The sequence below is a fragment of the Homo sapiens genome, chromosome 1, assembly GCF_000001405.40.
Source record: "Homo sapiens chromosome 1, GRCh38.p14 Primary Assembly".
Lineage (NCBI taxonomy): Eukaryota > Metazoa > Chordata > Mammalia > Primates > Hominidae > Homo > Homo sapiens.
In genome coordinates, this window is record NC_000001.11 from 175,353,637 (window position 1) to 175,377,740 (window position 24,104).

At 44.8% G+C, this 24,104-nt stretch overlaps 1 protein-coding gene across 2 annotated transcripts in view, besides 2 other annotated features; it reads right to left on the reverse strand.

Annotated features, from left to right (window-relative positions):
- Positions 1-24,104, reverse strand: part of TNR (tenascin R) — a 428,402-nt gene that overhangs the window by 38,443 nt on the left and 365,855 nt on the right. For both annotated transcript variants that reach the window (NM_001328635.2, NM_003285.3), the window contains exons 10-18: positions 13,572-13,661; positions 12,239-12,502; positions 11,374-11,643; positions 10,072-10,191; positions 9,027-9,173; positions 5,976-6,095; positions 2,683-2,826; positions 1,867-1,997; positions 755-887 (exon numbers count right to left, since the gene is read on the reverse strand). In NM_001328635.2, the coding sequence (NP_001315564.1) occupies positions 755-887; positions 1,867-1,997; positions 2,683-2,826; positions 5,976-6,095; positions 9,027-9,173; positions 10,072-10,191; positions 11,374-11,643; positions 12,239-12,502; positions 13,572-13,661 (1,419 nt within the window). The remainder of the gene's footprint in view (positions 1-754; positions 888-1,866; positions 1,998-2,682; positions 2,827-5,975; positions 6,096-9,026; positions 9,174-10,071; positions 10,192-11,373; positions 11,644-12,238; positions 12,503-13,571; positions 13,662-24,104) is intronic.
- Positions 11,266-11,315: an enhancer, noted in NCBI's record as "active region_2135". NCBI's record gives its function as "activates an Ori minimal core promoter by ATAC-STARR-seq in GM12878 lymphoblastoid cells {active_cell/tissue: GM12878}" and the evidence as "EXISTENCE:reporter gene assay evidence [ECO:0000049][PMID:35858748]".
- Positions 20,270-20,419: an enhancer, noted in NCBI's record as "active region_2136". NCBI's record gives its function as "activates an Ori minimal core promoter by ATAC-STARR-seq in GM12878 lymphoblastoid cells {active_cell/tissue: GM12878}" and the evidence as "EXISTENCE:reporter gene assay evidence [ECO:0000049][PMID:35858748]".

Below are 24,104 nucleotides of genomic sequence, written 5' to 3' on the forward strand. Positions count from 1 at the left end.
ATAAGAACTGAGTGAGATCATAGGAATGCAAAAGTCCTTTGTGTATGGAAAAGAGCTGCAGGTTTAATGTTGAGGGTTTACTACTGCTGCTTTTACTAAGTGAGTCTCTGATTACAGGTAGCAGAGGAAGGAGGAAGAGAAAGATAAACTTTGCTGGAAAACCACTTGCAGAAAACCTGAACTGGAAGGAACCTGATTTTTTAAATTTTTATTTATTTTTTTTTTTTGAGACGGAGTCTCACTTTTTCACCCAGGCTGGAGTACAGTGGCACGATCTCAGCTCACTGCAACCTCTGCTTCCTAGGTTCAAGTGATTCTCTTGCCTCAGCCTCCTGAGTAGCTGGGATTACAGGCACACACCACCATGCCCAACTAATTTTTGTATTTTCAGTAGAGACAGGGTTTTATCATGTTGGACAGGCTGGTCTCAAACTCCTGACCTCAGGTAATCTGCCCATCTAGGCCCCCGAAGTGCTGGGATTATAGGTGTGAGTCACCGCACCCAGCCAGAACCTGATGTCTTTACTTGGTGCATTTAATTGGTCCGGGTGGATCAGGGAGTTGTACTGCTGGTTCCTGCGGTTACCTTGTTAGTGAGAGGTTTCCTGGTAGGGGCTTGGACAGGGGAAAAGAAGGAGGAGGCAACTGAGCTTTTTTGATAAACTGCTCCCAGAGCAAGTCTCAGCAGAGGCTGCTGATGAGCCAAACATCAGGAAGTGGAGAAGAAGGCATCAAAGTGGCCATGCTCCCTCACCTGTGGTGAAAGCGGTGGAGGTGATGCTGCTCCACGTGGTGTCCTGTGCTGCCTGCAGGAGCACCGTGTAGTCTGTGTTCTCCAACAGGCCCTCCAGTCGAATCCAGGTGTCTTCTGCATCCACAATCAGCTCCTGTATAATGAGCCAAAGGAAGGGTGGTGGAAGGGAGCAACTGGCTTGCAATTTGGGAAAGTAGGGAAGGGAAGTCCAAATCCCATGGGCAGCTAGGTCAGTATTGCAATGGCCATTGTCATCCTCTCCATCCCACAATAAGGATTACTGCACCAATAAGCAGAGAGGAGAGCTCCCATGTGAGATTTAGGCCAGCTCCTATCTCAGGAATGCACATTGGGATAAATTTAGGTACCTGCATTATTGAATCTAGAAGTCTTCAGATTGCACTGTACTTGCTTGAGAGCAGAGAAAGAGCTGAGGAAGTGGGATCTAAGGCCTCCTTACTTCTATCAAGCAGACTAACTCTGCTGAAATGTATTCTGTGCTTTTGGTTTCTGCATATGATTTCCCTTTAAAAAGAGGTTGCTTCACTAACAAAAACTTGAAAATCAGTGTTCTGGATGAACTGTTTCAACTGATGAAATAAAACAAAAATTTGTTGTTTCTTTACTGTAGGCTACACAGATATCACCTTTATAATGCTTATCAAGAGGCATAAAAGCCTATTGAATTTGGTATCCAGCTCATGTTTGCTCAGCCCTGTTGTTGAAAAACTATTCCAATATCATGTACTTGGGAGTTTCCAATGTGCTTTGTGTCATTGTATTGGAAGCACCAGCACAACCCAGTGAAGTTGCAGGGGTAGAGACCTTCATTAGCTAGAGAAGAAAGCAAGCCTTGAGGAGGTTTAGTCCTTTGCCTCAACTTACGTAGAGAGTAGCAGTAGAGCTAGGACTATCATCCAAATCTTCTGGCTTGCAGACTAGGGCTCTCTCATCAACAGCAGGCTGGGTATCCTTGATGGGAAGCTGATGAGCAATCCTTGTGGATTGCTTCCTTCCCCCTCCCTCCAATGTCCTGTGGTCACTCCACTAGTCAGTTTCCACATGGCCTCACTTGGAAGAAATGGTCTTTTCCCTTTCCAGCAAAATCTCACCTTGCGGCTTCCATCGGTGGATTTGTAGGTCAAGACATAATTTTCAATCTCTGCCCTGGGAGGCTGCCAGGAGATCAGGGCACTTTGTCTGGTGACTTCACTGGCTGTCAGGTTTGCCGGAGGGTCCAGGACTGCAAAGAGGAGAAAGTGCCAGGGCATGCCTGCCTCTCCAGCTCCTCCCCCTGCTTGATTTCAGGTATGGGTATCTGTTGCCCACCTCTTTGGTCTCAGGATTGCTCACATGCTGACCCCTGCTCTGGCTTGGAAAGGAGCATAAAGGGTGCTCCTGGGTCAGATGATAATCATTCAGTGCCACGATCATTCTTGCAGCTACTTCCCCTTCCCTTACAGGGCCTCTAGGCTTGGGTGTGACATCTTCCACACTGACCTTCTATGCCTGAGATCTGGACCCTGATAAACTCTCATGTCTGCTTGTTCACTCGTGAACTTACGTTTCCACATATTACCTATGTCTACTTTCTCCTATTCATCACTCTACTCAGCAGCTCTTTCCTAGATATCTAGCCTTTTAATATCCATCAGACTTTTCTGGGGCAGATGCATTCCGAGTACAGACCTCTCTTGACCTGGTTCTTCTGCTGTCACCCAGGGTGAGAGCAGAAAACAGACATGTCTCTGCTGGCCAAAAGTTGCAGCTTAGTTTCACTGAATTTGGGCTGTAGTCAGTCCAAATAAGAACAGCTCATAGCTGCCCTGTCCAAAGCCTGTAAGTGATAATCTAGTCCACCACAAGAAAGCTGATCATTTCCACAAAAGTCCCCAGGGATACGGGTATGTAGGTGACCATGTACTCACGAGTAGAAAAGTTGGTGCTGATGGTGCCACTGGTGAGAGGTCCATTGGTGGCATACATGGTGGCAGTATAGTGGGTGCTAGGAAGCAGGTCAACAAGCCGAAATTCCTCACTGACTCCGTCAACAAGGATGGTCTCTCCAGCGACTGAACTCAAATGAATATGAATAAGGGTTGAATAAGGCTACTCAGTTTAGGAAAGATCTACCAAATCCAAAGGTATTTCACATGGATTTACTACTAGAGAATTTTGGAAAAAAATCTTTCATAGGTTATCTAGCTTAGTATCTTACTCTTTGCAAGGATTCCCCTCTCATCTCATATCATAATTGAAAAAAAGTGTTCTTTATGTGCAGGTCAAATTGTCTTCTCTATAACTTCTATTCGTGTCTCTGGAGTTATTAAGGATAAATCTAGTCTTTTGTGTACATGACCCCTTCCTCTCCACCACCCTTCCTAATCAAGTTCTCTCTCCACTAGACTGAGAAAATTCAGCCCCCACTTCCCATCACATTTATGTGACAATTTTAAAACCTTCACAGTCCTATCTACTTTTCTCTGAACACGTAACAGTTTATCAATGTCCCTGCTAAAGTCCAAAACTCAGAGAACTGAGAATAATGGAGAGGTACTGACCAATGAAATAAACAGGGTCAGTCTGTGCTTGTGCCACTTATATTAATTAGTAAGGTTTTGGGAATGCCATGTGATATTGTTATCACATGCCAAGATTATTGCTAATCAAAGATCTTCTTTGTAACCACTCCCCCTACCTCTCAATCCAATTTTGTTAGTTGATTTTTTATACCCATGGACAGAGCTTTGCATTTATTTCTATTGCATTTTGCCTCATTGATTGAGTTTTGGGCCACTGTTTCAGTTGATTAAAATATTTTTGAACTTGGATTCTATTGATCACAATTTTGTTTTATACACAAATTTGGTAAGCATGTCTTCTCTGAATTCATTCAAGCTGTTGATAAAACTGTTCATTAGTTCAGGGCCAACTCCTCTGTTGGGCAATTAGAATACTTGGAAATTATTTAATATTTAACAGTTTACTAGGCACATTTTCAGAATAGGTAGGGCTTTGAGATTTCAAGTTTCTTGTGGTCTAAAGGCATACAAACAAGTTAAAATTCAAACTAATGCTTAAGCTTTGGAAGAGCATGTATAAGGATATCATCTTTTTAATGTCCCCCTTTGCACATCATGCCATTGATTAATGCTCCAGCCATACCAAACTATGGTAGTTCTTCAGACTTCTTACACTCTCACATCTCTGCAAATGCCCACAGTCTGCTCTTTTTCTTGAAATTCCCTTTCTTCTCCTTTTCTTCTTTCACTTTATCTAAGACTTTTCTTCTTTCTTTCCCTCCACACCTTGACCCTATTCATAGTAGCCCACTGGACATGGCCCATGGTGTTCTGTGCATGTCTATAGCATACACTGCTCACATCAAGTTGTAACTATTTACTTCTCTGCAACATCATTAGAAGTGAGTTCCATAAAGATGAGAGCTCAATTTTTGTTTCTGAATCCTTATAGCCTTATAGAGTGTGTGGCACATGGTAGGGCATCAAAAGTATTTGTGGAATGAATGGAAGTTCATTGCTCTGTTAGAGCTGTGTGTTTAGTGTCTGTGAGCAGATGTGTCTGACTGCCTTCAGGGAAGCTTTGACAGAAGAGATAGGGTTGAAACCACGACTTGAAGGATGGGTTTTCTAGGCAGGCAAATGGGGGAGTTTCCTGGTGAAAGAAATAGCATGTGCAAATGCATGGAGGCTTGAGAAAGCATGGTGATAATTAAAAAATGCGGGATCATGTTATGAAAGGAGGGGTGACAGGAATTGAGATGGATTGTGCATGCTCACAGAGGGGTTAGGACATACCCATAGTAATGCTATCCCTTCTTCATGGAGGGTCATTCATTCAGCTACAGTCCCAGCTACCTCCAAATATGACCTTTCATGTATTTTTCCATGTTAACTAAGGACTAAGTGATAAGTGGGGTTTTCTGATGCCTTGCTGAAATACAAATGTACTAGCAGGTTTGCCAATGAAAACAAAGACATAAAGTAGTTTCGATAAAACTTATTCTTGGTGAATCTGTGCTGCTATATGGTAATCACTAATTCCTTTTCCAAGTTGTTTAATTGTCTGTTTTAGTTTTTACCTTCCTAAGCTTTGACAATAAGTTTACTTCTTTGCAGCTCACAGAATTAGCTTTCTCTGTCATTTTTGAAAACCAAGACATCTGCCTGCCTTCTGTCTTCTGGTATCTTTGTTCTCTGGATTCCTGAATATAACCCAAAACAATTCTGTGATCACATGTTTGATGAAGGCAGGGAAATAACTTCCCTAAGCCTAGAGACTTGGAGGACTCAACTCTATTTTGCTTTGGGCTTCTCTGTTCTGTTCAACTTCAAATGGTGTAAGGTGAACAAGCATGATACAGAAGACAGTGAACTTCAAGATTTCGTGTTAGTTAAACCTGTTGGGCTGGATATGAATAGAGAAGACAAAAACACGGAAGAGTTTAGCAGTCCTGAATCTTTTGTCACCTGTTAGCCTGTACTCTCTGTTTCAAACTTGGTCCTATATCTTCAGTGTTTTTCTTGCTCTGCGAATATTTAGAAAAGCCTGCTTTCTTGTTTGTAGCATTTTGGGGGCAAGTCTTAGCTCTGTTCTGAGTTTCATCTTCCTAGGGCTATTGCTCTGTTTTTGTACTTGCCCTTGGTTACATGCCTTTCTTGTACCTTTCAGATTCAGCTTTCTCAGCTCCTAGATTTGATACAGTTTGCAGAGTTTGGGGATATCTTCTTTTTTTTTTTTTTTTTTTTTTTTTAGATGGAGTCTTGCTGTGACTCCCAGGCTGGAGTGCAATGGCGTGATCTTGGCTCACTGTAACCTCCACTTCCTGGGTTCAAGTGATTCTCCTGCCTCAGCCTCCCAAGTAGCTGGGACTACAGGTTTGCACCACCACTTCCGGCTAATTTTTGTATTTTTAGAAGAGATGGGGTTTCACCATGTAGGCCAGGCTGGTCTTGAACTCCTTACCTCAAGTGATCCGCCTGCCTTGGCCTCCCAAAGTGTTGGGATTACAAGTGTGAGCCACGATGCCCAGCATAGAGTTTGGGGATATCTTGAGGGCTTCATAGTATACCTGAAGTAGGAACTTTTCTAATCTGTCCTTCAGATTGAAAAAATGTTTTGTTTATTCACATCATACTGGTCTGCAGCTCCAATTCCCACCATTCCCACCTGCCTGATCTGCAGGCCTGCAGACACCCACCTGCAAAGTGTGTAAGAACAATGACGTAGTTCTCCACCTCACCCACTGGTGCCTTCCACTGCAGCAGGGCTTCTGTTGGAGTGATATTGGTAGCAATCAGATCCACAGGGTTGTCCATGGCTGAAACAGAATAGATTATCAGTTACAGATAAGAGGAGCTGCAGGATAGAAATGCAGGGAATGATCTCAGAAGTTCCACTCATGGTGCAAGACTGCTGCTGCACTCTACAAAACAAAGAAGTGAGCAGAAACCTCTTCCCTTTCTCCTCTTCTGGTTCCATCAGCCTCTTCCATTTCTCCCTGCCTCCCTTCTCTCAAGTATCCAGTTCTCCCCCAGTCGCCCCCAGCTCTTCCTTTTAATTAATTCAATAACTTCTTATGTGCAGAATACTGTGCCAGATACTAAAGAGGATTTCAAGATATGGCTGGAATGAATTTTCAACATTTAAATCTAGATGGAGCAACCAAGAACCCACAGAAATTGTTATAATTTTTTAGTTAATGAGATAATCATACTTCCCAGGCTATTTGCACTTTTATAAATGTAAGGGTGTGCCTCATGGAAAGATCTCTGTTGAAGAGCTTCAGGAAGTGTGGTGGCAACTCCATAGGGGCAGGAGTATCCCCAGGACAGAGAACATAGAAGATCCACCCATGGAATGACTGCGTGGGCTCAGTCAGGTTGCCTCAAAAGTCATATCTGATTATTGGATGATTGCTTCACTGCTCACAAGTCTCACTCAGGACTGAGTCCTTGGTATTCTTTTTGTTGCATTAAGAGTCAAGAGGATTCTTCCAGGCTTAGGTAGGTCAAAAGGGCCTGTTAGAGGAAAAGATTGTGCTTGTCATAGGATCATCTTCCTAGTCTTACTTGCCCATGCTCTAAGTCTTTGCTTTATTACTGTGCTTCTCTTCCATCAGGTTATAATTTATCACAAGTGGATGTTATTACAACAGTTTAGTTATCAGCTCAACCCAAGTGTCATAAAATTTACTTTTGAGAACCAAGATCTGCTGTGGATCTTGCCCTATTCTCTAATTGAAAGTATTTTTTTCACTTGCCTATGTCCTTTATCACAAAGAAACAACCTGCACAATATTTTCATGTTAAAATTGGAATTGTATCCATAATCTGCATGTTCAAAGAGTTCTTCAAATGCAGCCCTTAGACTACACTTGGCTTGATCTATCTGAGACATGCATGATACCACGAGACAAACATGACACCCTGAAGGAGCACTCACTTCCAAAAGTTGTAAGATCATAGACCTCAACGTAAAACCACAACAAACATACAACAGCAAAATAAGACATTCTGGGGCAATCTAGTTATTGGAAGTTGCTAAAATAGCTCTGCCTAGACTTAAAGGAGGGCAGTTTGGATGGGCATACCATTTGGGTTGGTGTACCAAATATCTGCTTTAGAGATACTAGCTGCTCATGACCCAAGGATTTTTTTTTCTTTTGAGAGACAAGGTCTTGCTCTGTCACTCAGGCTGGCATGCAGTGGCATGATCATGGCTCACTGTAGCCTTGGACTCCTGGATTCAAGCGATCCTTCTGCCTCAGCCTCCCTGGTAGCTGAGACTACAGGTGCATGCATCCATGCCTGGCTAAAGAAATGAGTTTTTGATTGAAGTTGCTGGTCTCTTTTATCTTGGGGATAGGAGGCTCTTGAAATACATTTTATTGTCCTCAATGGGAAAAAGGCTAATTTCTTTAATATGAATTTCTTGGTTCAAGAAGGTGGGATAGAGGCTTCTTTTGGTGTATTGGACCTCACTTCTGGCCAACACTTGTTGATATTTTAATGGTCACAGGTAATTTAATAGATAGGGCAAAACTGAATGGCTGTGTTATCTGTTGTCATAAGCCTGGAAGGAGACTAGGGAGGATCAGAATATCCTGCGCTGTCTTTAGAAGAATAATTTTTGTGTTTGTGAAGGAATATTTCTTGGCCCATTGCCTTAGAGATGCTGTTTCTGAGCTTCCGAGAACATCTACGAAAGCAGTAAGGAATTCTAAAGTATATTTCCCTCATTTGGGAAATACCATTCTCCAGTGAAATTAAGCAACTGTAGAAAATCCAGGTGTTCTCCTAATGAGGCAAGCTGGATGTTTTCCCACGTGCTGTGGGAATGATGGCTTAACTAGGAGGTTTGGTCTAGGGTATGGGAATAGAACACTTTGGCTGTGCCTGCTAGTGAGTTCTGCAGCGAATCTTTGCATGTTCTGCCTGGTGTACTTGCTGAGGGGCCAGAGACGGAGGAGCAGTGGTGCTAGCAAAGGAGCCTTCTCTTCAGCCCCATTGCGTGGGCTTGTTTTCAAGAGGGAGGCCATGGGATTTGGACTACCTTTCCTCACTTTCCCATATTGCAAGCCAGTCTCTCCCTTGCACCTCCCTTCCTCTGGTCATTATGTAGGAGCTGATGGAGGATGCAGAAGACATCTGGATCTGACTAGGGGGCCTGTCAGAGACATGAGCTACACGGTGCCCCTGCAGGCAGCCCAGGATGCACACGGAGCCACATCACCTTCACTGCTTTGGTCCCGGGTGAGGGAGTTATGGCCACTTTGGTGCCTTCTTTCTCCCTGGAGCACAAAGCAAGAGCAAAGGCACCTTCTTGGTGGTTTCTGGCTATATCTGATGATGAATTTCATGACCCCATTCCATTACTGGAATAACAACCCTTTTCTTCTCGAGGTGAAATTTTCTCATCTGAGTCTTTTACAAAATCAGATGAATGATTCAGATATCTGTTTTAGAATTCACTTCCATTATATGTCTGAAAGGGCACTGTTTATGTTGGAAGTTCCATGAAAATTCCTAACCTAAACCAGCAAGACTTCTAGAGGGTGACTCTCTAAACGTTTAGTATTAGGGAGGAATATTGGGGGAGAGAAATTGCAAATTGCCCTGCAAGACACAGTGAGTTGGAGGAGCACCCCGAAATGGAGCCTTAGCCTCCAGAACCTTTCTACAAGCCCGAACAACTTCACCCAGATCTTCAGCCAGGGTTCTGACTTGACACAGCAGGGAGACATTCCCACCTGTGTGCACAAGAGTACAGATGCGCTCGCTTTCCTCCCTGCCCCGCACGCTGTTGAGGCTGATTTCGTATTCGGTAGCTGGGTTCAGTCTGGTGATGGTGAATTCTGTCACAGTGTTGGGCACCACTGAGCTGTCTAGTCGTCCCACTGGAGAAGAGAAGAATCTACAGTTAAAATTCAGCAGCCCTTTCATCCAAGCAGCCCATGGTACAGTCTATGTCAATAAAGCACAGATGGGTGTGGGACTCCGCACTCAGTGGGGAGGGATGATACATGGTTCATGGGCTGGGAATGTTGGAGTGTGAAGAGGCTTTGCACACTGGTCTCACTCCTTCATTTTATGGGCTCCTTGGAGCAAAGAAAAATGACCTACCTATTAAGTGGTTTTCTAACAAGCTGGTCTTCTCTAAGACAATGACATTAAGGCAGTGTAGAGGGCACCGATGCAAGGAGCAGTCCCCACAGTCCAGAGACAGTGTAGTCTGGAATGCTGTCCTGTGTCCTCACTGGAAGTGAGTGTGCCCTCCACTTCCTTAAAAATGCCACATGTACCAGCAAGAACTGGCAGGATGCAGGTGAGGTCTGGGCCAGTTTCCTCTGACTCATAACTTGTCTGGAGTGGCTGAAATGGGACCACATCACTGTGCTTCCCTCCAAGGCTCCATCTGGCTTTGCTGGGTCTTTAGCCATCCCTCTGGATCCTAGTCTTGAACTTCATTCTTGTAGGAATATTCATGTGACCCAAGCTCTTGGCAGATTCTTTTGGGGCTCTTTTTTTCTCAAGACACTGCCTAGATAATGGTGATCAGTTACCTCTGCTAGTGAAGGGCCTGCTCTCTGGGTGAATGTAATCAAGCCTTTCTCAAGAGGCATTGGTGAGTGTGGGGTTTCTTGGCTGCTCACCAGCCCACTCTCATTCTGATGCAGCATGCCACAGAGAAGAGGAAAAACGCAGGCAGGAGTGGATGTTCTGCGGGATATGCTAGTTCTCCCATAATCTTCACCCAAATCCTAGTATCTTTGAGAAATCAAATCACTTTGTTACCTTGGGTGGGTCGATATGATACTCGGTAGTAATCGAAAGATGCAACAGGAGGGCTCCAGGAGACCATCACTGAGTCCTTGGTCACATTGCTAATTGTGATGTCTTTTGGGGGATCAATTCCTACAAGGACCCAGTGATTGTGGGAAAAAGACAGAAAGCACAGTGTGAAAAAGAAATTCTCATCCCTGGTTTTATGTTGACCAAAAGCCAATGTTGTCCCAAAGGCAGACAAGATCTTTCCATGTAATAGGGTATCTTAAAACCATGGTCACGCTGATGTTTCACTTGAAACCTTGTAGGTATGACCAAAGCTATGTTCATGGAGAATATTTTAACAACATGAAGACAAGCTGGCAAGCTCTGTACCTGTTACCTATCTGCAAGCCAACTAGGAACTTTTTTTTTAAGTTCATATGTTTTGTTTTGAATTGGGAGAAACATAGGCATTTTCTCTGAGGTAATTTTTTAAGATAAACCAAATTTTGCCTGTATCTCTTATTCTTTAGCAGCCACCTTTGGTTTCAGTTTTGAAAAACTGCCTATTGACTATACAGGGATTTCAGAGCACAAGTCCAGAACAAATCCATTTTCCTAAATTGTATTTCATTTATGCTATGGGCTTTTTTTTTTTTTTACTGCTAGGGGATCACAGAGTTGATCAGCTAAGTGTTTAATCTACTTGTCCAGTTTGTGAGTTCTTGTTAGTAAGGAGGAAACTACCCAAACATACATATCTTCACCCACATGTACCTCATATTTGAAACTGTGTTTGGGAATAATGAGCTGGGACTGATCCAATTCATCTCTGAGTGCCTGTGTTTTCTAAGCAACATCCAAATCAACCCCATTCTCTGAGTGCCAGGTCACTACCTGATTGCATGCTAGTCCCATGTGAGACTAAGGAAGCATTATTGTACGAGTGAACTTTCTGGGCAGTTAAGAGATGGTTCTTCAGAATAGGAACAGGTGTCTCTTCACTGTAGAGGGATTCCTCTTGGAGACTAGCTTTCTCCAGTGCTTTTCTTCTAAGCTGGTAGTGGGAGGTCTTTTGGACAAATGCATTCAAGCTTTGACCTCCTCAAGACATTGACTTTGTCCCACCTTCCAAGTGGGAGTTTCTTATCTAATGCATCTTCTGCAGCACTGGAGGAAGTAGCTGTTTCAGAACAGGTCACAGACTTTCTCTAGCCATAGAGGAAATCCCCTACTCCTTGGGTCTTTCTCTTTTAAAATTTCATTGATTTGTCAAAGGCTACTGTGAAAACCCCTTTCATCACCTGCTGCCAAGTCCTCCAGCCTCACCTGTGGTGATGGAGCCCACAATGGGCTCAGAGGTCACTGTGCCATGGACAGCCACAAGGTTCACAATATACTCTGTGGCTGGTTGCAGGCCCATCAGGACAGCATGCCTCTTGGTGGCATCCAGGGAGACCTCCATCATCTCTTCCTCCTCATCCCTGGGGCTGTAGTTAAGAATGAGTCTGTCTGCTGGGGGAGATGGATCACTCCAAGTGATGTTCACACTGGAGGAGGTCACATGAGAAAAGTGCAGATGAGAGATGGGACGGAAGCCTGCAAAGCAAAGGAGATGGATGGTCCTGAAACACGTGAGGAGATGGGTCACTGGGCTAGAAGAACTTCTTGGCTAAAGGGACCTGCTCTCCTTGCTAATAAGGGCCACACCTTCACCCACTAACCAAGAGATTCCACCTCCTCACCCTCCAGTGCTGTTCACTCCACTTTTTCCAATCCAAATATAGGAAAATGGATTCTGTTAAAATGAGAACTACTTCTGTGAGTTAATCATAATACTGAACCAGGATTGAAAGCCTGTATCCTGGAATGAATTTTATATGATCCCATGGATCCTCTGAATTCCCACTGATTTACTGCAGCAGGGAAAGATGGACAGAATCAACTACTATGTCAAGGCCATAGAAAAGCCAGACACAAGTTTTCAGGCAGGTAACACTATTGCTCACCTCCCCTCTTTACTTCCAACCCTTCCCTCTTGATGCACTTATTAGTTTTTACTCTATCCTTTTCTACCCACCTCTCTTTTCTCCAAAGGAAATGGAACATTGGAAGAGTGACTTGCCTGAATGAATTTCTCACACTGAGATCCACTGATCCCTGAACCTGGCTGGGATTTCTGCTGCTCTGGTACCTGTGAAAGCATCCACAGTGGACTCCAAGCTCTGCTGCCGACCCCTCTCAGCAGTGACGGAAATGATGTACTCTGCCCCAGGCTCTAGATCTGTTAGTGTGTATGAGGTCCTGTCCTTGGGTACGGTGACTTCTGAGGCAATCCCAGAGGATGGGGTAAAGGTAATTCGGTAGTGGTCAATGGGGCCACTGGCCTTGGTCCAGATGAGGGAGATGGAGGTCTCCGAGGAGGCTGTCACCATGAGGTCTCGGGGACTGTCAAGTTCTGTGGATTGACATAAATGGCCTATTTTACATGTGTTCCCCTGGAGGGCAGTATTTATTGGCCTGCTTTGTGTGTTTCCAAGCTATCAGCAGGCCTGCTGACTATGAGCACTAGCTTGTCATTGCTGACACTTATCTAATATTTTGCTAAGTACCTTCCCTCTGAATGATGGCCAGGGGCTTGGCAAATAGATGAACAATCTGAAGAAAGCCGTGATGAGCTCTGATACCACTGGATTGCATCCACCTCTGGGACAAAGCTGGCTGCTGATTTTCAAGCTCGCCATATTCATTTTCTCCCATCCTTTCTCAATGAGCCAATAAGGATAAAATGGTAGCTACCACCAAGTAGGGATATGCCATTCCTGGCAACAGAAGCGCACCACCCTCCAACCCTGAGGCTATTTTGACTTGTTCTAACCATAGCCAGGCAGGCAGCTAGATCTGAGGACCTGGAGACTTTTGTCCATGTGGTTCTCTAGAGAGGCTGAACCTTGGGACAAGGACTGGTCTAAAATCCCTAGCCCAGCCCAGGCTGCTAGTACCATAGGTGCTGAAATGACTTTGAAATTTACCCAGGATTTGGAAGCAAAACTGCTGAATCCAGAGCAGCAAGGGTCTCAGCTGGACTTTTCTTCTGCCCTCAGATTTAATGGGTTGTTGCAAGTCTAGACCTTCACCCAAGTGGCGTTTGTGAGGACCTCTGTGGTGTATGCAGGGCGAGGATGCCCCATTCTGCCTGCTGTCGGGGTGGTCTAGATAAAAATATGGCCTGCAATGGCATCAACCTATTTAGGATTTTCCACCTCTGCTCTGTACAGCCCTGAGCAGCTCTTCAGACCACGGGGGACCGAGCACAGGTCTGTGGGGAAGAGGGTGACTCTGTCCTGCCTGTCAGAGATCAAGGATTAGGCATAGGGTGGATGTTGTTTCTAGGCTGACAGTTGTCACCAGAGCCCTGTTCACTGGAAGACATTGCTTTCTGATTAATTTTTGCTGGGACGAGCCTCCATGACTCCTTAGGCTTATAGGCTAACCTGGTCTTCTTCCTCAGCAGTCCTCCTACTCACCAGTCCTGGCATTCATGGTGGCTGGCACGCTTTGCTGTGAGTTCATGACGGCAGATATTCCAACTCCATACTCAGTGCCAGGTACCAGATCTATCAGTGGATGGAGAAACAAACATTATTCTGTGTATGGGGCAGGGCTAGGAAGGCTGAAAGTGGGAAGAAAATGATCTTAGACTCCTATTCATATCTTGTGTTTAGTCCTCCTTGAATCCTCTCCTAATTTGAACTATTAAGAAATCCCAATTTCACTATTTAGGAATCCCAAGTCAATAGGATGAACCAGCCCACGCAGAGCTTCCTTCTTGCAGGCAGGCTCTCTGGGAAGGCAGTGAGGCTGCCTTGTCAGTGACCTTCAGAGGTGTGCTCACATAAGTATACAAGGACTCCTTGTATGCTTAGCGTCTCAGGTTGGCTTGAACCAGCGAGAGGATTTCTTGCTTAAATTGTGAATTTCGGGAGTATGTAATCAAGAGAGACAGTGTGGACATAGACCTGAAAAGCATTCCTTGAATGTTATATACAAGGACCAAGCTACACCTTTTACAGGAGCTGAGGCCATATGGGGACTCCTGGGTCCCTTCTAGGGAGGAACAGTGGATGGACTTTTTTTTCTAAGCACAGGGCTGTCGAGTAGGAGCATGCAGAAGTCCTGTTGCTGTAGGCCCCCCGCCAAGTTCAGTAATTCAGGCCTCAGGGTATCTAAAGCTGTGGATCTAATTTTAGAATAACTTTCAGGGGAGTCCAGGAAGACAGAGGAGACACAAAAACTGTCCCACTAAAGGGTGTAAGCTTCTCTGAGGAAATCCTTTGGGAGGTTTACTACAAAGGATCTCTGAGAACCTCCTAGAATATCTGGAATTCTCTAGGTTCTCTCCTTGACCTCTTTCACATTTATTTTCAGACTAACTGGTTTGACTGGTGTACTAGTTTCCTATTGCTGCTGTAACACATCACCACAATTTAGTGACTTACAACAACAAAAGTGGATTCTCTTACAGTTAGTTCAGGAGGTCTGCAGTCTAAAGTAGTTCAGCAGGGCTGCCTTCCTTCTGGAGGCTCTAGGAGAAAATCCATTTCCCTGCCTTTTCTAGCTTCTAGAGGTTGCCTGCATTCTTTGGTTCATGGTCTCTTAATCTATCTTCAAAGCCAGAAGCTTGAAACGATCAAATCTGTTTTCTCTGTCTGACTTCTGCTCCTATCATTGCATCTACTCTGACTCTGACCTCCCTACATCCACTTATGAAAATCCTTGCGATCATGTTGGTCCCACCTGGATAGTACAGGCTAGTCTCTCCTTCTCAAGATCTTTAACTTAATCACACCTGCAAAGTCCTTTTTGCCCTGTAAGGTGGTTATATTCACAGATGCTGGGGATTCTTTGAGGGCTATTTCATCTATTACAACTGGCATCAAACTCATTTTTATCTATTAGGACTGGGGTTGTAGAAAAACCCAACAAAGGCAGGGCACGGTGGCTCATGCCTGTAATCCCAACACTTTGGGAGGCCAAGGCGGGTGGATCATCTGAGGTCAGGAGTTCGAGACCAGCCTGACCAATATGGTGAAACCCATCTCTACTAAAATTACAACAATTAGCCGGGTGTGGTGGTGTGCACCTGTAGTCCCAGCTATTTGTGAGGCTGAGGCAGGAGAATCGCTTGAACCTGGGAGGCTGAGGTTGCAGTGAGCCAAGATCATGCCACTGCACTCCAGCCTGGGTGACAGAGTGAGACTCTGTATCAAAAAAACAAAAACAAACAAACAAGTAAACAAAAACAAAACAAAAAAACCCAACAAAATCAAGTGATCACCCTGAGGGCCTCCAGTGGTCAGTCTGAGTCCTTCCGGTAGGCTCTTTTTGGGGCTTTGTGTGGGCTCATGGCTGATTGGAATGGTATTCTGTATTTATATAACATCTGTGCTTTTCAAAATGGATTGTGTTTTAGAGTCTCATCACAACCTTGGGAGGAAGGTGGGATAAGCAGTCTTTTCTCCATCTACATTAGCTTCCTGTGGATGCTGTTATAAATTACCACACACAGTGTGGCTTAAAACAGACATGTGTCCTCCCACGGTTCTGAAGTCTGGAAGTCCGAAATCAAGGTGTCGCCAGGACCATGCTTCCTCTGAAGGCTCTAGGAGACCTAGGTTCTGGTGGTTGCCAGCACTCCCTGGCATTCCTTGGCTTGTAGTTGCGTCACCCCAGTCTCTGCCTCTGTAGACACATGTGTGTCTGTGTCTTCCCCTCTTCTTATAAACACACCAGTCACATTGAATTTAGGGGCCACCCTAATCCAGTATGACCTCATCTTAACTCTACTGCATCTCTAAAGACCTTATTTGGAAATAAGGGTTTGGGGTGGACATGCATTTTGAGGGGACTGTTATTCAACAGAGTACATCATCTTTTTATAAAAAGAAACTGTGGCACGGAGTAAGTCTGTGACCAGCTAGAGATGCCCCCCCGGATTCTGGTCTCAGAGTTCAGGGCTTTTAGGAGGAATGGGACATCCTATTACTTCCTTCCACCGCTCAGGGCAGCTGTGATTTCTCTGGAATCCCTGATTTTGATCGGAAATACTTTGAGCAACATTCCTTTAACAAATGGCTTGGCTTGGTCAAGAGGAATGCTGCCTGGCAGCCAGGGGGTTCTTCATCCCCTTCCTCAGTAGGCTTTTGTGGAGTCCATGCAATAAATGTTGCTTAAGCATGGCAGAGCTTACCAGGCCAGTTTCTCTCCCAGGAATGCAGTCCCGAAGCCCTGTCTGGGTAGGCATTCGAATCAGCCCTCTTTTTTCTCTTCTTAAACCAGCTCCCTTTCTTTCCCAACCCTTAATTCTTTCTTTCTCTAAAGTGGCAACACCAGTGGAGGTAAACTTTGAAGTTTGACAGACTTTGACGTCTGACATATCTATATTTGGTCTCTTTCACTTTTTACCTGTGTAATTTTGATTACTTAACATCTATGAACCTCAATTTCTGAAGAATGAGAATAAAAACAGCATCTATATCAGAGGGTCATCATGAGGATTATATGAGTCAAAGTGTTTAAAGTCCAGTGCCTGGATCTTAGCGGTAGTAGCTAGTATTTTATTACTTTGCACAGAGAACTATTCCTGGATTTTGAGTACTTTTTTTTTTTTTTTTTTTTTTTTTTTTTTTGGTGAGTGGTCTCATCAACTACAAAAACCGCCCCAGGCAAGTACAGGCCGGTCCTGGGTGCACCTGTTGACTTCTTGTTATTGGTTTGCTGGGGCTTAGCCTGTTGGCTCTGTTGGAAACCAGTGATTCAGGGAGTCCAGGTGGCAGTGAGGACCTTCTCCCTGGCTGGGCCAAGTACCTATCTCTAGATTGAGTGGGTGATTGCAATACCCCCTGATCCATTTGAAGCACACATTTATCTCCATCAATATGTTCAGTGAGTTCCAGGTACATCCTTGGTTGCAGAAATGAGATTACCTTTGGGACATAAACTACTTTTATCAGGCAACTGATTAAGACCTTCAATTGCCTATAATGAAGTAGAAATTCTCCAACATAGATGAAGGGTGACAGATGGAGGGAGTAAGACAGAAATTATACGTTGCCAAACAGATCTAACATGTAACATTTTCATCCCAGTTTCTTATTTATGAAGCTTAAATGAAATGTTCAATAATTTACAATGGAATCATCTTCTCCCAGAAAACTGCAGAGCAGAATTTAATGTGTTCTCTTCCCAGGTTTTCTGTCTAGAGGATGGAAAAGTGGGACTTGCTTATAGGTTTGTGCCTGCTGCTTTCCTTTGATTTTCAGCAGCTTTCTTCCATGCTACAAGTGAATTGTTGCTCTTTGCCAGCAGGTTAGACACAGTTCTGCTGGAAAAAAAAAAAAACCACATGTATCCGAGGCATAGCCAGTGCACTTAGATATCAGCACTCTGAGTACTCCTAGGGATTTCTCACTTTTTAAAGACCCCATTGCTCTCTATCAATGCCCCCTTTATCTCTCCATCCAACTCCTGCAAGTGGTAACATATAAATGGCCCTGTTCCCTTTCTTAACAATAGCACAGAAAATTCATCCCATAGGAAATCACTACTCTCTGTTCCTTATAGAACTTTCTTTGTTCAACTTGGAGGTTGATGCTTTTCTCAACTCTTTCACCTCACACCCATTCTTCTTGGAACCCCTAAAGCACAGTCATACATTCAACAAATATTAAGGGCCTCCTTTGTGTCAGACACAAGGTGGTGTGAGCTGAACAAGACATTAGCCTTGCCTTTTGGGGGTGAAAAGGAATCTGTGCTAAAAAAGTAAAATAATTATTTAGTGAGCACCCATAATATGCCTAGCACTAAGCTACATGGAAAAGAATAATGACGAAGGGGAGGGAAGAAAAAGAGAAGTAAAAAATGAAGACTTTTTGAGTGTCTGATGGTAAAGAGTTATGCAAGTATTACTGAGCTTCTTAAAGATTCACACGTTATTTAATTTCCCTGAAGCACTACTGATAGGGTATTGCAGATGAGCAAACAGGGGCTCCAAGAAGTCTATTCCTTGGCCAAGGTCACAAAACTGATACATGATACAACTAGGTTTGGAACCCAAGTCTCTTGTTATTTTCTGACTCATGATAGCATGGTTCCCATCCCTGAGTCTTACAGGCCAGGAGGAAGGAGTGGAGTAAGCAACTTGGAATTCGAGAGTGATTTGGTACCTGTTATAGTTTGGATGCTTGTCCCCTCCAAATCTCATATTGAATTGCCATCCCCAATGTTGGTGGTGGGGCCCAGTGGGAGGTGTTTGGGTCATGGGGGTGGATCCCTCATGAATGGCTTGGAGCTGTCCTCCAGATAGTGAGTGAGTTCTCGTGAGATCTGGTTGTTTAAAAGTGTGTGGCACCTCCCCCCAACCCTTGCTCCCTCTCTCATTGTGTGATGCGCGGGCTACTCCTCCGGCTTCCCGCATGATTGTAAGCTTTCCGAGGCCCTCACCAGAAGCAGATTCTGGCACCATGTTTCCTGTACACTCTGCAGAACTGTAAGCCAGTCAAACCTCCTTTCTTTATAAATTACCCACCCTCAGGTATTCCTTTATAGTAATGCAAATGGACTAATGCAGGACCAAAGCAGAGGCTGCTAACTAAGAGGACAAGATCAGCATGGGACTAAGAGGACACGATCAGCAGGGAGAAGATCAGCATGGGCTGTAATAGTCAGATAAGTCTTTCCAGAGAAGGCATTTGAGTTGGAACTTAAAGCTGGCTAAGATAAGGAAAGATAGAGGGAAGGAAATATGGAATTCTCTAGTGGCCAGAATGGGGCATAATGAGCATTCATAGATTAATTAGGGCTAGAAAGGAACAGGAGTTAGCACATTCTCACCTGCAGTGCAAGGACTGTGGTGATAAAGGCAGAATGACTCACTTAGCCCTGTTTTGGGAACCTATTCTTCATGCCTGCTGTCGCTAGCAGGGAAAGTGGTAGGGAGAAGGAGGCCCAAGGAACTGAGATTGCTGTCTCTTGCTAGCAAAAACATGAGTAAGATACTTGGGGTCTGCAGACTTGGTTGGGATCAAGTGGACATGAGGAAATATGGACCTTTCCATCTTTAAATCCCTGAGATCATCTCCCAAGTGTCTGTGAAGCTCAAGTCTATGAAACTGAGGTTAGGGGTGTGATTGGCCCTAGTGCACTGGGTGCCTACCTTCACAGAGAGGGACAAACTGAGGACCCTGTCCCCAAGGAACTTGCAGTCAATCTGCGATTTTTATAGTGATTATGTTATTATTGTTAGTTTTCATGTTGGTTTCCTCACTAGACTCTTAGGTCTTTGGGTCAAAGATTTTATTTTTTTCAGTATGTAGTATAGTGAGAAAACATGCACAGAAGCAGCATGGTGCTGGTGGCAGTAGCGGTGGTGGTGGGGAGTGTTGGGGAGACTCCGAAGAGAGGATATCTGGACTGGGTTTTGAAGGACCCATGGACATCTGGTGGCAGGGAGGGCATCCCAGACAAAGGAAACAGGGCATGCAAAGGCAGCTCTGGCAAAATAATTCATGAAAACCCAGGGACTAATATAGGGTCCCTCATAGAGAAATTTCCCATCAGTGGAATTTGGAGACCAGAGGTTTCATGGGGGAGATATGTGGAGAATATCTTTGGAGAGCCCCTGAAATCACACCAGATAGGCACCAATCTACTTTTTAGTTAAATGGAGATCTGAGCAGTCAGCCTCCCCACACTTATCTCTTTGGATAATGACAGGTGCATCTTCAGGATTCCTGGAATGAGTCAGGCTTTCGAGGCCATCTCCCTGCTTTTTTGGGTGTGCATGATGTTCAAGTTTCAAGAGAAGCAGCCAATTCCATCCTGATTTAAAGGAAGGGACTGGCCTAACAAGCCCATTTTTGATAAGAAAAATAATACTTCTAAGGCCTGTTTCCAGATGGAACTTTCTTATTGCTGGTGGAATTAATGAGAAACACAGCTCATCAACCTTGTCATATAGGAGCATCCCTATTCTGGGTTGTTGCTGTGAACAAGTACTCCCTGCTGAGGAGTGGAAGCTGCAGCTGAAATATTCCCACCTGGCTTTTCCCCCAGCCCCCTTATCCCCAGCCTTTAAGACAAATAAGGAATAGGCCCTGTATGTCCCAGCTCCGTGAGGAAGAGGTATGTGGAAGCCTTTGTCCTTTCTTTCCTCCTCTTCAACTTGGGTCTCTGCAGCCCACTCCCCAGCTTCCCGCCCCTGGAAGGTGACACCATGTTTAGAGGGTGCCTTACCAAAGTGACCACTTGGGGTCACTGTGACTTCGCCCAAAGGAGGCTGAGCACTGTCTGGCCCGGGACCCCAGGCCCTGTGCCTGGTCCTTTCCTCCTCAGAAGAGCTGCAGGGCGTTGAAGGTCTGGTGCTGGGTTTGGTGTTTGTGCACTGGCCCATCAGGGAGTGCAGACATAGCGAGGTGGACATTGAGTGCCGTGGTCAGTGCTGACTTGCCAGCTGGACTCCCTCTGGAGTCTCAGATTTCTTCCCCTGCAGACAAGCACGTGGCCTGCCAGTGTACCCTGAGGAGCCGACCTTCTCACCACTAGATCCCCATTTGGGCCAGAAACCTTGAAGGCGGCAACTCCCAAAGCATGATCAGGACGTACTTGCAGGCATCAGCCTAGCGTGTGTGAGTGTGTGTACGTGTGAGGGTATGTGAAAGTGTAGTGTGTACGTATGAGGGCATGAGCATGTGTGGTGTGTATGACTATGAGTGTGTGCATGTGTGTATGAGTATGTGTGTATGTGCATGTGAGTGTGCATATGTGCTTAAGTGTAAGTGCAAGAGTCTGTAGGTGTGTTTGTGTGTACATGTGTGCATGTGGTGAGTGTGAGTGCATCATGTGTGGCTGGCTGTAAGTCTCTGTTTTCTTGCAGTCCTATGTTGTATCACATCTGTAGAAACTGTAAAGCTTCTGGATTTCCTAGGCCCTGTTGGCAATTTTTCAGCTTGTCAACTGGAGATAGAGATAGTCCTGGTGCAGGGAGAGGCAGCAGGTTAGCAAATGCCACCATGAGGCCTAAGGCAGGTGCCCTGTGGAGTGGGTAAGGGGTGCGATGAACGGGCCCTGGGTGGTTGTGAGAGCACGGTGCTCCTGTGACCGTATGGGCCTGGCTCCTTTTGCCTTGTTTCCTGGTCATGAGAATCCTTACGGATCCTAAGCTTCTGTTCATGAGGGAAGACCAGGTGAGAGAGAGTGGATGGCTTAGGGCAAGCCCCCTCCCCTCCTGCTAAAACACAACCACATGCCTTTTTGATGAAAGATTAGAGCAGTCACCTTGGACACAAAGGCCAGAGTAGTGTTTATAATTTGCGTTAGTCCCAGTCAGGGAAGTTGATTTTTTTCGCTAAATTGCAATCAGCAACTAAAAATCTTCTCCCTCCCTTCTCTCTCTCTTTCCCTCCCTCCTTCCACTTGGAGTTTTCTAAATGATTTGTTGTTTTTTTTTTTTGTTGCTGCCCAGAAAGCAGAATGGTATTGTACCCTGTTACATGGTGCCAGGTTCTAATCTGGCTGGTAAGATGTGTAACACTCAAGGACCCCTTTGGGACTATAGGTATGGTGCACAGGCCAAACAGACATCATACAGGCTAAGTGACTGAGACTAAAACAGACTTATTAAGGACACAGAAGCCACTAGAGCAGAGAGAAAAAGTCATTGCAGACATTGAGTCTGTTGTTCAGAAACAAATTCATATCCCAGAAGGAATTCTCTGGACATTGCCTACAGAGAATAATGGGGGGGGAGTGTTTGAATTTTGGGCACCAGCCTGGACTCTGTGTGGCAGAGGGCAACATTTGTAAAGAGGGAGGTCAAGAGGGGGTACTTGCTGCCAGCCAGCTCTGGGAATGTCTCAGAGACCAGGAGAGTCAGGAAGGGCCTGGATTCCACAACAAAGAGGAAAATGGTGGCCTCAGAGACAACGGCTTCTGCAGGGAATGGCAAATACAGGTGCCATAGAGCTTTAAGTGTTGAGTCAACAGTGAGAGTAAAGGGGGCCTGACCTTGTGCCCAGCAAAGGCCAGGCTGCCACGGCTTCAGGTCTGAGCTTTGTGAGGATTAATACCAATAAAAAATTGAATGGGTATTGAGTGCTTACTGTGTGCCAGGCTCCATCCTAAGTTCTTGAATAGGGATATATGTATGATTTCATTTAATTCTCGCTACAACCCAATGAGGTAGATAGGATGTCTTTTAGATGAGAGAACTAAAGTGCAGGAAATTTAAGAAATTTGCTCAAGGATGCACTTTTCATGAAGCTGGTCTCCCCCCTGAGTGGGGTACTTCCACAGCTGTGCTCTAAGTGAGTGCTTCTCACTCATAGATTTCCTTGAAGCAGGGGTCCTAAAATGCAGGCTCTGGGTTGGTAGTTCTCGGGGGAAGAGGCCTCCAACATCTCTGGGCGTAATGCCCAGGCTGCTGGTGGCTGCACCACGCTGTGAGAGGCAAGGTTCTAAACCACTAGGCCACATGGACTAAAGGAGGACATCCTAAACCATCCAGTAGCTCACAGACCTCCTCATCTCTTTCGTCTTCACCACTGTCATCCACTTACTGAGTAGTTTGTTGTCAGAAGCACTACCTTAAACTCGTTAAATGTATTGCCTCATGAATGCCTCATGATGGCACTGTGGGGTCAGTGGTATCAGTCCCCTTTAACAGATGAAGAAACAGAGGTTTAGAAAGATTCAATCAACTGTCCCAAATCACACAGCAAGTGGCAAGCCTGGGTACAGAGTTGAAAGTCTAGGCTCTTAGCATGTTGCATGGAGCAGAGCATTCAGATCAAACTGTGTCTGAACACAGGCATTGGAGGCTGAAAAACTTAACTTTTTACGCTCCAAGTTGGAGAGTGAGTGAGAAAGCACAATGTTTTAGAGCCAGAGTCAAACTTCTCCCTTTTGTCCCTTTCTCTTTTTCATGGCTCTCCCTTCTCTTCCCCCAGATGCCTCAGCAAGAGAACCAACAATCCTTGCAACTAGCATCTCAGCGAGTACAAATACACTTGATTTCCTTATGTGCCAATAATCCCTTCTTAAATTATGTTAAGCTATTTGCCTCATAAATCTCCTCAGCAGTGAACTCCCTGAGATAATTATGTGTAATATATAAATGTAATATTATATATATATATATATATACACATATATTTGAAATGTTTTAAATCTGACTGTAACAAAAAATCAACCTATTTAAGCCCCCTACTCAATAATAATTTTCCCATCGCTTCTAGGTCTGTGGCATTTAAATTTGGACTGTCCCTTACATTTTACTTCTTTAGCAGAAGCAGCTGTGGAAGGGGAATCTTCTGACTGGGACTCGAAAGGACTGGCTTTGAATCACAGCTGTGCCCCTTGCTAGCCTTGTGAACTTGGGCAGGTTTTCAAACTCCACAAGCCTCAGTTTCCTCATCTGTAAAATGGGAATGCTAACCATACCCACCTCATGAGGTGGTTGTGAAGATTAAAGAAGCTATAACTGTATGAGAGTTCCTGGAATAAGAGAGATGATCAGTGAGTGTCGGATCTTCTTTTTTCCCGGTAGAGGGAAATAATAACTAGGACGTGGGGTTTTCTATCTCTCTCATGATGTCATGGCGCATCCTCCATCTGAACAGTTAGCCATCGATTTTATATAACTGCTAATTACCAAATTAGCCTGCGGCTCTAGGCAGGGATGGGCTGCGCTTAGAATCAGTTCCCTCCTGTATCATTTCAGGGTTTTTTTTTTTTTTTTTTTGGATTTAGCTTAATTTTTGTGACTGTTTCTAGCTCTCTGCGAGGCCCTATGCCAGCTGGTCTATCCTTTCTCTGCTTAATTCACCCCCGTTAATCTGCTTGGTCAGCATATCTTCTCATCTCCTTGCTGTGCCTTTAGGAGTGCGTCTGTCTGGAAAAGGCATTTATTATATTTACTTTAACTGGCTGTGTTTGGCAAGGTGGTCTGGGATTTCAACTTGGGAGGAAAACTGCTTTGATTATACTGCCCTTGTTTACCGTAT